Below are 12,152 nucleotides of genomic sequence, written 5' to 3' on the forward strand. Positions count from 1 at the left end.
CAAGGGTCTAATCTAGAGATAAACCAGATAGGAGGTTAACACTTAATTAAATGAGAGATGATGATGACTCTGAACTAGACTGATGGTGGTGAGAATAAAGAATAGGGGCCATAAAAGCGATGTTAAAGAGAAAGGAAAGGAGATAAGATCTACAGAAATTGGTGAATAGTTCAAAATGGGACTGTGGGAAAGGCGTCTGTGCTCCTTCCCAGAATTCTGCTTTGGGTGGCTGAGATACAGAGGAATTTCCTTTTTAACCATATATCAAGCTAAGAGATTAGGAAATAAACCCTCAGGTACCCATCATATGTATAGCTTCAGCAGTTACCAACTGAAGGACAGTCTTGTTTTATCTGTTTCCCCCCACCCAGATTATTTGAAGCAAATCCCAGACATCATATCATTTCATCCATGAATGTATCCATTTGTCCATCCAAAAGACACTGGTCTTTAAAAAAACAAAAACCCACAATACATTATCACACAAAAAAAGATTAAAAAGAATTCCTTAATGTTGTCAAATTTCAGATTTCCATAGTAGGAAAAAATCCTACTTTTTACAATTTGTTTAAAGTCACATTCAAATAAAGTCCATATGTTGTAAATGGTTCTATTCTTTTAATTTTTTTTTTTCTTCCCTGAGACGAGTCTCTCTCTGTCTCCCAGGCTGGAGTGCAGTGGCGCGATTTCAGCTCACTGCAACCTCCGCCTCCCAAGTTCAAGGGATTCTCCTGCTTCAGCCTCCCAAGTAGCTGCGACTGCAGGCATGCACCACCACGCCCAGCTAATTTTTGTATTTTTGGTAGAGACGGGGTTTTGCCATATTGGCCAGGCTGGTCTCAAACTCCTGACCTCAGGTGATCCGCCCGCCTCAGCCTCCCAAAGTGTTGGGATTACAGGCGTGAGCCACTATGCCCGGCCTAAATATTTTTTTATTCTATAGCTTTCCCCTTTTTCTTGCAGTTTATGTTTTGGAGAAACCAGGTTTCTCTTTTTCTGTAGATTTTCCCAGTTTGGAAGTTGCTGATTTTATCTCCATTGAATCATTTAACATGTCTTCGGTTCTCTCTGTGTCCTATAAATTGGTGGTTAAATTTGATCAAATTCAGATTTATGTTGGGGGAACACAAATTTTTTTTTTAAATTATACTTTAAGTTCTAGGGCACATGTGCACAACATGCAGGTTTGTTATATAGGTATACATGTGCCATGTTGGTTTGCTGCACCCATCATCATTTACATTAGGTATTTCTCCTAATGCTATTCCTCCCCCAGCCCCCCACCCCACGACAGGCCCTGGTGTGTGATGTTCCCCACCCTGTGTCCAAGTGTTCTCATTGTTCAATTCCAACCTAAGAGTGAGAATATGCAGTGTTTGGTTTTCTGTCCTTGTGATAGTTTGATGAGAATGATGGTTTCCAGCTTCATCCATGTCCCTGCAAAGGACATGAACTCACCCTTTTTTTAATGGCTGCATATTATTCCATAGTGTATATGTGCCACATTTTCTTTATGCAGTCTACCATTGATAGACATTTGGGTTGATTCCAAGTCTTTGCTATTGTGAATAGTGCCACAATAAACATATGTGTGCCTGTGTCTTTATAGTATCATGATTTATAATCCTTTGGGTATATACCCAGTAATGGGATCACTGAGTCAAATGGTATTGTGTTCAGAATTGATTCCTTCTGGTGGGTTCTTGGTCTCGCTGACTTCAAGAACGAAGCCGTGGACCTCATGGTGAGTGTTACAGCTCTTAAAGGTGGCGCGTCCAGGGTTTGTTCCTTCCGGTGGGTTTGTGGTCTCGCTGACTTTAGGAGTGAAGCCGCAGACCCTTGCAGTGAGTGTTACAGCTTTTAAAGGTGGTGTGGACCAAAAGAGTGAGCAGCAGCAAGATTTATTATGAAGAGCAAAAGAACAAAGCTTCCACAGTGTGGAAGGGGACCAGGGCAGGTTGCGGCTGCTGGCTTGGATGGCCAGCTTTTATTCCCTTATTTGGCCCTGCCCATGTCATGCTGATTGGTCCATTTTTACAGAATGCTGATTGGTGCATTTACAATCCTCTAGCTAGACAGAAGTTTTCCAAGTCCCCACCTGACCCAGAAGCCCAGCTGGCTTCATCTCTCAGTATTTCTCGTTCTAGATCCTTGAGAAATCGCCACACTGTCTTCCAAAATGGTCAGACTAATTTACACTCCCACCAATGGTGTAAAAGCTTTCCTATTTCTCCACATCCTCTCCAGCAGTTGTTGTTTCCTGACTTTTTAATGATCGCCATTCTAACTGGCGTGAGATGGTATCTCATTGTGGTTTTGATTTGCATTTCTCTGATGACCAGTGATGAAGAGCATGTTTTCATGTGTCTGTAGGCTGCATAAATGTCTTCTTTTGCGACGTGTCTGTTCATATCCCTTGCCCACTTTTTGATGGGGTTGTTTTTTTCTTGTAAATTTAAGTTGTTTGTAGATTCTGGATATTAGCCCTTTGTCAGATGGTTAGATTGCAAAAGTGGGGGAACACAAATTGTTAATGGATGGTGATGGGAGTAGTCACATAATGTCTGCTGTCTCTGAGATGTGAGCAGACATTGATTGTTACTGCCTAGATCCTAGATCCATTATTTTTTAGGGCTTGTACAGTGGCGATTTTTTTCTTTTTAGCGTTAGTACCTTCAGAGTGCACAGTACTTACACAATGGCGGTAATTTAATTTTTGGTCATTCATTCTTCAAAGATAACTGGAATATCTTCATAAAGAGAAACTTATCAAACATTTGGTTATCCTGGATACAGTTCAAACAGGTAAGATAAAAGCATGATTATTTCCCCCCATATTTCACAATAAAAGTTTTCAAAATATTGAGTTTATTCCTAGTGAAAAATACTGTTTCTTTTTCTTTCTTTTTTAAATTTAAATTAAATAGAGACATGGTCTCCCTATGTTGCCTGGGCTGGTCTCGAACTCCTGGGCTCGAATGATCCTCTTGACTCAGCCTCTGAAAGTGCTGGGATTACAGGTGTGAGCTACTGCACCCAGATGAGAAAAATAATGTTTTTATTTGTGTGTGTGTGTGTGTGTGTGTGTGTGTATATAAAGGCAGCAGAGTCATCTGGGAATGCTCAGGGAATAGGCGTGGTGGGGTAATGTGCTCAAGAGAGACAAATGTTTGGAGTGGCCTCTAGGAGAACAGGAGAGGGGTTGTGGAGCTTGGTTGATGATGGAGATAGCTTATAGTGGTACCAGTGTACATGTGTGAGTCTATTGTTTTTCATTTTTCCAGTGCTCAGATAACTGCCTAGGAGAACATGTAAATGCAATCATTGTTCATCAGGGTTGGGATTTTGCATGGAGGCGTAAAAGAAGGATTGGTGGGATAGGGGAGAGTCTGGAATCATGGGGAGAATGACTGAAGTGACTGATCATGGTGGTGGGGGGATGGTCTAGGGTGGATATGGAGAGAAATGCACAGTGATTGGTACAAAGAAGGTCCTCAGTAAATATGTGGTAGAATTAATAGATGAAGGGAACTAATAGATTGGAAGAAAATATAGTATTACAAGGACTAGAGATTCCAATGTAGTCAGAATAGGTATTTTGGATATGAATGACATGTGACATAGTAAGATAAAAGACAGGAGGTGAGGATTTGAGAGCAGGGCATATGAAGATCTCACAAGGGAGACCGGGCGCGGTGGCTCACACCTGTAATCCCAGCACTTTGGGAAGCCGAGGTAGTCGGATCGCTTGAGCCCAGGAGTTCAAGACCAGCCTGGCCAGTAGGGCACAACCCCATCTCTACCAAAAACAAAAACAAAAACAAAGAAAAGAAAAGAAAAAAGAGATCTCACAGGACAGCATCTCTGGATTAGCTTATACAGAGTAAGTTATATCAATGGGGGTTGACTTATGGAAGATAAAAAGGAACTATACAGCGTTGGATGAGTTCTAAGTAAGGATTTCACAACCATTTAGGTTGATGGTGGGAGGGACAGAAGGAGATTACAGCTTATTATAAGGAAATGGGTAGGTTAGTGAATAACAGGGAGAAGCAGAGAACTAGAGCTTGATTGCATGAGCCTCAAAAGATGTTTTCATTCATGGTCAGAGTGGCAGTAAGAAGTCCTATATGGCTGGTGGAAGACTAAGCCACCATTAGTGCAGTCTCTAGGGAAGGACTTTCTCCTTAGGAGAAAAAATAGTTTAGTTACGACAAAGAGGAGAATATTGCCAAATTGCTATGCATAGAGGTTAAACCAGTTTAGACCCCCCACCAACAGTGTATGAGAGTATTCGTTTCCTATATGGGGCATTCTTTATTTACCACAGGGTTGATGATAGTTTTCCTTTTTATTAGATTTATAATTGGTACATTGGAACTTGATTCACATCATCCTGTATTCAGTGATGTCTGGCTTCTGAAATGCTGCTGTTATCATTTTATCTGCATTACTTCTTTCATAGGTCAGGCCTCTTACAGTTGTCAAACTTCAGTACAGTTCTATATGAAAAATGCACATAACCTATACCCGCATTTGTTTAGCAAAATGGTGTGCACGGGTTCCTGATGAACATTGCAAATGTGTATCTATAGAAAGGGCCCTACCTTTCTGCACCCTCCCTCTCTTCCCACATGTCCTTTGGCCATCCTTCCATCTGGCACACTTATTCTACCCCCTAATTCTTCAAGATGCTCTATCAGCCAATTTATTCTCCATCAGCCCTTGTAGTTCATCACACTCAATTATCTCTAACCCTCTCCCACCTCCACTCCCACCACACACCCCAGTGCTCCTGCCTCTCAGGATGTGATTGATTTTCCTTCTCCTTCTGCCAGCTTTCTCTCTGGGTTAGACTGCCCTGTCAGATTGTAGTGCTGAGGAAAGAAGGGTTCATCCTAAGCCTGACTTGTACTCTGTACAGCTGGAGTTGTTTCTCAGCATCCAGCCAAGGCTTCTTTGAAAACACTCACTGGGGAAAAGAACAAGGTTGCATCATCCCTTTGGGTCATGGCTGCAGTGTCTCTTGGTGGTTTTAAAAACAGCTCACTCCTTGGCTCTCAAATGACCCTGGAAAACAATTGCATTGGCTACGTAAGTCATAATAGTTATAGTCAAATCATTGCCTACTATTTATATATATATAATTATTTACCATGATTATGCTAATGCACATCATTAAACCAGATTAACTCTGTTAGTTTTATTTGATCACAACAGTGCCTCGTCTGTGAGTGCCCTGTCTCTATAGTTCTTGTGCATGCTGCATGGTCGAGTGCTCACAACTTAAAGGGAATCTTGGTGAACCTGACAGTGTTGATGTTTGAGTATTGATCATAACCCTGTTCATCCATACACATTTTGCTAGCTTCTGAATGCTGTATCTGTTTTTGCTAAAGCTGGGGTAAAAAAGAAAACTCTGAAATTTGAGTGCCCATTTAATCAGGCATTTAATATATCTTATTTCATTTAGCTCTTACAACTCTGATGTATGTAGGATTGCTGTTTCTTTTACAGGTCAAGAAACTGAAACTTACAGTAATTAATTGAACTGGTCTTGAGGATATTTGGTTTTGAGCTATTTCAAATGAAGACAATACTACTCACCTCACAAGGTTGATGGGAGGATTATAGTGTCTGTGCAAAACATGAGTCATAGTGCCTGACACAGAAGTTATTGTACATACATGTTTCCTGTTCTCAGTAAATTTATGGTCTAGAACACTCTTCAAAACATATATTTTGTTTGAACTTCATCGGCTCTAAAAGTGATCCATTCCATCTGGAGCTATGGCATAAAATTATTTGCATGTAGATCTTGAATAACTACCAGCAGTTCCTTGCTTTTATATACTACTGTTTCACCTGAATTCAATAAATTAAAATAGGAGCAAAGAAAACTATATTTATATTTTGAATTTATATTTTGAACAGTATCATTGGAGCATGACTTAAAATGGAAAAAAAAAGACTAAAGTGGTAATTCTTATTGATGCGTGTTGTAACATCAAACACGTTTTCTAGTATCCCTCGTATTTTTTTTTTGGGAGGGGCGCGGCTTATTGAGATATTCACAAACCGTACAATTAACTCATTTGAAGTATACAGTTCAGTGGTTTTAGTATATTTAGAGTGCGCAGCCATGACCACAGTCAATTTTAGAACATTTTCAACACCCCAAACCTTTCAGCAGGCACACTCCACTCACGTTTTTCCCCATCCTCTGGAAACCACTGAGCTTTGTGCCTGTATGGATTTTGCCCACTCTTGACATTTCCTGTAAGTGGAATCACACAGCCCCACTTTGTGCCTGTATGGATTTGCCCACTCTGGACATTTCCTGTAAGTGGAATCACACAGCCCCACTTTGTGCCTGTATGGATTTGCCCACTCTGGACATTTCCTGTAAGTGGAATCACACAGCCCCACTTTGTGCCTGTATGGATTTGCCCACTCTGGACATTTCCTGTAAGTGGAATCACACAGCCCTACTGTGGCCCTTTGTGCCTGGCTTTTTCACTTAGCAGAATGTTTTTATGGTTTATTTATGTTGTGGCAGGCATTAGTACTTCATTCCTTTATTGCCAGATACCATTCCACTGTGTGGGTAATACCACATTTGGTTCATCTGTTCATCAGTTGTTGGACATTTGGGTTGTTTCTACTTTTTGGTTATTATCCATAATACTGCTATGAATATTCCTGTAAAAGTTCTTTGTGTGCTCCTAGGTTTTTATTTCTCTTGGGTCTATAGCTAGTTGAATTTCTGGGTCATATGATTACTGTGTTTAACCTTTTGAAGAACTGCCAGACTTTTCCAAAGTCACTGCATTACTTTACATTCTCACCAGCAGTGTATGAGGATTCCAGTGTTTCCACATCCTCGCCAACACTTGTTTTTTATTTTTATTTTTTTAAGAGACAGAGTTTTGCTCTGTTGCACAGGCTAGAATGTCATGACATGATCAAAGGTCACTGCAGCCTCAAACTCCTGAGCTCAAGCAACCCTCCTACCTCAGCCTCCTGAGTACCTAGGACTGTAGGCGCCACCATGCCCTGCTAATTTTTATTTTTGTATAGGCAGGGTCTCACTGTGATCCTCCCACCTCACCCTGTGATTACAGGTGTGAGCCAGCTCACCCAGCTCTATCTGTCTGAGTGTGGCTTTAACAGAGACTTGTTCATGTCAGTATTGATGACAGTCAGATGCTTTATTGTTACCCATAAATATAACACATTCTGTATGGTGTTTTTCCTGGTACATTTCTAAGCATGCACTCTTATCACCGAGCTACATCCCCACCTCGTGTGTTACATTTCTGGTTGCCTAAGTACTGCACTGATTTTTGGGTGGAATCCTTTATCGCTTATATCGTTGGCAAACTGGAGAGTTAATTCTTTGAACTGATACGAACAATATCACTTTCTGGTTAAAGTCAGTATGTGTGTGAAGGCCTCATATTGCTGTATTTAAAAAATCTTTAGAAACACTTTTCACATGTAGTCTGTCTCAATAATAGTGTGTAGATTTTAAAGGAATGCTGTTAATATAATACCCAGTTTGGGGAAAGTTTATGTGTAGAACTGATAAAGGTATTTTAAAGGTTGTCAGTAACACATGTCAACTCAAACCATGTGTTGATTTGCTCAAAGAAGTTAAAATTAACATTTTAGAGTTACATTCTCCCCTGTCATCACATTGTTTTTGTCTTCCTTATTGTTGTTCTTTAAACAGACTCTGGCTCTGTTGCCCAGGCTGGAGTACAGTGCCTCGATCACTGCTCACTGCAGCCTTGACCTCCTGGGCTCAAGTAGTCCTCCCACCTCAGCCTCCCAAGTAGGTGGGACTACAGGTGCGCACTGCCATGCCCGGCTAATTTTTGTGTTCTTTGTAGAGACAGGGTTTTTCTGTGTTCCCCAGGGGTGGTCTTGAACTTTGGAACTCAAGCGATCCACCCACCTCGCCCTCCCAAAGTACTGGAATTACAGGCATGAGTCACTGTACGTGGCCTCCTATCTTCACAGTGTTACTGTGAATATCCAAATACAGTTGAATGCATTATCAAGGAGGAGCTATTGCTGAAAATTGGTTCTTTTAGGGGGAGGTGATGAAGAAAGCTTAGCTATTATGATGGTTTTTGCAATACACAACCTGTTTCTGTCATACTAAAATTTCATGGTTTGGGGACAATGGGGAGCGAATCTAAAAAGATTCCTTAAAAGGGCGGTAATGAAAAATAGGTTAAGAAATAGTTCCCTGGGCATAAAACAGTTGCTAGAATATAACTAAGGTCACTAGAGATCATTTAGTCAGACCTTTTCCCCCAGTGTTTTAAAGTAAGGCACAGAGTGAAATAACGTATTTCACTTACTTACTCTGTGTCAGGCCACTTTTTCTGTCCATGAGGGTAAAAAAAAATGAAGAGGCCTTTTGCTTCTCTTGGGAGAATGAACAGTTAAAGCATGGTGTGACTATTGTTCTGTCAAGGTGAGTGGGAACACAGAGGAAAGGCCACTCACGTTAAGTCAGCTTGAACGAAGGCGAGGAAGGATCCAGGAGAGGTCATGCTCTGAGTCCAGACCCATCCTTCTAGGCAGCTGTAGTGGAATTTAGTTGTTTTCCAAACTTGAGTGTTTGAGAACCTTGGATTGTTTAATTTGAAATGCAGCTTCTGAGGCCGGATTCTGGAGACTCTGATGCAGGCAGTGCAAGAATCTTGCTTTAGGATTCACCGCTTTACATGGTGGCAGTACAGTAGGCCTTCTTCACGGGCAACTTAAGTTAGTAGTCTAACTTTTCTTTTTGGACACTAACCCTTTAGGCTGCTGCCTTAATCACTTTCCGAGCAGTCTAGAAATAAGTTCACCCCCACCATGGATTAGAACCCCCCACTCTTTTTATGCCCGCACCCCCCCTGCTGCTCCCCGTAGCTAAGCTGTCACTCCTGTCTTGTTTTATGTTCTGTTTGTGTGTATTTTCTTGAGCACTTTCTTTTGTGGTCATTTTGGGTGTGGGATACCTTTACCTACTGCTGTTCAGAATAAAGGCAGTGAGTCTCATCTTTTTACCTAGTCAGAGAGTATTTTGTTGAATCCTGGGTGTTACAGTGAAAGGATAGTGTCAAGTCAAGGGGGACTTGAGAGCAGCCAGCATTATCTGGCACTGATGGAAAGAAAGGAAGGAACACACATGGGGTATTGTTGAAGTACGAGCTAACCTGCTCCTCATTGATGTAGGGCTAATGTCGAAACTCAGAAGCCTGCAGGGCCAGACAGGTAACTTAATGGAGGGGATGGGGCCGGATGTGCAGTTAATGAGTTGGAGGATCCATGTCCAGTCTAAGAGGCAGCCCCCTGTTAGTGCCAGCTGAGTCATGAAGAACTGTGAATCAGTCAGACTTGATTTTTCAAGCAAAGGGAGATACCCAGATTTTTGTGTAAGCTCCTCCAAAGTTTTTTCTTTCTTTCTTTCTTTTTTTTTAATGTTGGACAACCAGTGAAAAGCAAAACAAAACTACAGACCAAAACAAACGTTGCTGCCTGCTACCAGTTTGCAATTTCTTATGCATTCCATGAAACTGACTAGTTGACAGTCTTTTCAGATTGACAGTCCATGAACAGGAATTTGCTAATATTTCTAAGACTCAGACCTTGGCAGAAAGATCGGAAAGCAAGGTAGAATTTGGAGACCGGGTTTTATAATTGTAAGATCTCACTTTTGTGAATTGCTGATTAGAATTCACAAAAGTTAGATCCATGGTGCAGTGCCTCTTCTCTCATCTCTAAGTTTAGGAAGCCCTCAGCACCTTTTGAACTGTGTAACCTGACAAGAAAGATGTCTGGGGAATTAGCAAGTTCTATTTTTGTTTGGTCCAGTGAAAATTCTGGACAGGCCACAAACACATTCTAGGGAGTCTAGAATAGACTCCCTTGAGCTCTTTTAATTCTTAAAAAAAAAAAAAAAAAAAAAAAAAACAGGAGCAGGACCATCCAACTTAATCCAGTGAAACGGTGATTTTTTCTCATAGTCATCCCATCCCTTATACAGTGTCTCTCTGGCCAAATTAATTAATACATCAGATGTTCTGAAACACACTGTACTAAATTAGATTTGGGGTCATAGCTATGAATTATCAGTCATCCTCCAAGGGTGCTGGGCAAAGCAAAGGTAAATTTTTTGAAACTTTAGTTTCTTTCTTTTCTTTTCTTTACCTTCTTTCTTTCCCTTCCTCCCTCCCTCCCTCTGTCTGTCTCGCTCTGTCACCCAGGCTGGAGTGCAGTGGCACCATCTCAGCTCACTGCAACCTCCGCCTCCTGAGTTCAAGAGATTCTCCTGCCTCAGCCTCCTGGGTGGCTGGGACTACAGGTGCGTGTCACCACGCTCAGTTAATTTTTTATATTTTTAGTAGAGACGGGGTTTCACGGTGTTAGCCAGGATGGTCTTGATCTCCTGATCTCGTGATCTGCCCGCCTCGGCTTCCCAAAGTGCTGGGATTGCAGGTGTGAGCCACTGCACCCGGCCTTTAGTTTCTTGATGTACCATTTGCTGTTAGCTTAAATTATGCCAACTACAGCCCAAGCTTAATTCAACATTTAAATAAAGTTCTATGCACAATAATACAACACAGCACTTCTATTATAGCAACAACATTAGCTGTCTCTAGTTCCTAAAATAAGAAACTGGAGTGACGGAAGAAAGACTTGGGTTGCTTGTTCCCACCTTTGACTTGTAAACTTCCTTAATGGTCTTTCATCAGATGCTTAAGCTGCCAGAGTATCCCTTATGAATTAACCAGCTACTCTGTGGGAAACTGCTTTTGTACTACTTCCAATTCTGACAACCTTTTTCTCAAGTTGAGCTGCCTCTGTTCCTACTTCTGAAATGCCTGTGCAATGCTGACTGAGTTTGTCACCAGTAAGTTCTCCCCAGACAGGGAAGTCCTGCGGGACCAGTATCAGTCCTCAGTCAGGAAGAGGTTGTATAAATAGCGGGTGCTCACACTCTAGAAAAAGGGGCGGAGGAGAAGGTAAGTGTTGAGCCCCAGATGTGAACTCCTATTTTTGTTTCAGGGTAATTAATGTTTCCTTAAGTGAGCTAAGCCTTGGGCTCTTGCGCCTCTGGCTTTCAGGCCTGAATCAGCAATCTTTAGGCAGGAACTGGGGGTGGGGAAAAGGATTTTGTATTTCATGTCATCCCCAAATGAATGAAGTAATATGAGAGCAGCACTTTCTGAAGCTTGGCCTTGAGGCTGGAGAATGGGTTGTGGAAGGTGAAAACTTTCCTTTTAAAATCCTAGTGACTTGGGGAGAACTGGCCTCTGACAAGTCTCTTGCTGCAGTCTGATGACTGCAGCTCTCAGAGATGCTGTTGGGTTGTCTGGTGTTTGTTTCTAGTTCTCTGCTCGAGTGTTAGTGCCATTAGATGGTCTTGCCCCTGTCTGCGGTTCTGCCTTCCATGTCTTCCCCTTCCCCCTTGGCCTCCTAAATTAGATACATTCCCCCTCTGCTCCCAGACGTCTCCATCTCCTCATCCCCTGACAGAGCAATCATTTATCAAGTTGTTTCACGCGTTGTCGGGAGGGGGGCCCTGGGGACTCAGTTTGTTTCGTCCCTTTGTTGAAGCTCCACAGGATCGGCCAGCTTAGTCTCCAGCCAACTGCTGAGAGTTGCTGGACTCCAGGAGCAAATGTTAAAGGGGCCGCCTTTCATCTACTTGCTGTGACTTCAACCTTTCTATTTAAATTCCAGCTTATTGGAACTCACATACGTACACTTCCTCGACATGTTTTTGATCATATGATATTTCTTTTTCATTATGTACCTCCCCATCCATACCATCACTGAGGACCTGAAATAGATTTTTCATAGTATATTACTGTAGACATACTTTGTAAGTAGGAGTTCCTGCTTTTTTATGACTTCTTTTTATGTATGCTTTGACTTATCAAGGTGTCACACTGTTGACCATAGAAATTTCTAAATAGTATAGGGATTAAAAAAAATTTTAAAGTTTGTCAGACTTTAAAATGCAAGGTGAGCATCACTGCTTCTTAGCAGGAGTGATGAAGGTTTTCCATAGTGTCTACAAAGATAAAAGGAAAAATTTCCTTCGACTTCAAGGATGTATAGTGTGAATGTTAACCAATGTTGAC

General features: G+C 41.6%; 1 protein-coding gene across 10 annotated transcripts in view, besides 2 other annotated features; it reads left to right on the forward strand.

The window, feature by feature from the left end:
- The window catches only part of CECR2 (CECR2 histone acetyl-lysine reader), a 198,203-nt gene that overhangs the window by 65,787 nt on the left and 120,264 nt on the right, over positions 1–12,152 (forward strand). The gene's annotated exons all lie outside the window — the stretch shown is intronic.
- Positions 7,135–7,335: a silencer, noted in NCBI's record as "peak4447 fragment used in MPRA reporter construct". NCBI's record gives its function as "represses an SCP1 promoter by STARR-seq MPRAs in K562 erythroleukemia cells {active_cell/tissue: K562}" and the evidence as "EXISTENCE:reporter gene assay evidence [ECO:0000049][PMID:32103011]".
- Positions 9,831–10,391: an enhancer, noted in NCBI's record as "H3K4me1 hESC enhancer chr22:17914611-17915170 (GRCh37/hg19 assembly coordinates)". NCBI's record gives its function as "activates a minimal SCP1, AML or CMV promoter by ChIP-STARR-seq in primed H9 embryonic stem cells {active_cell/tissue: H9 hESC(primed)}" and the evidence as "EXISTENCE:reporter gene assay evidence [ECO:0000049][PMID:30033119]".

This window comes from Homo sapiens, chromosome 22 (genome assembly GCF_000001405.40).
Source record: "Homo sapiens chromosome 22, GRCh38.p14 Primary Assembly".
Taxonomy (NCBI): domain Eukaryota; kingdom Metazoa; phylum Chordata; class Mammalia; order Primates; family Hominidae; genus Homo; species Homo sapiens.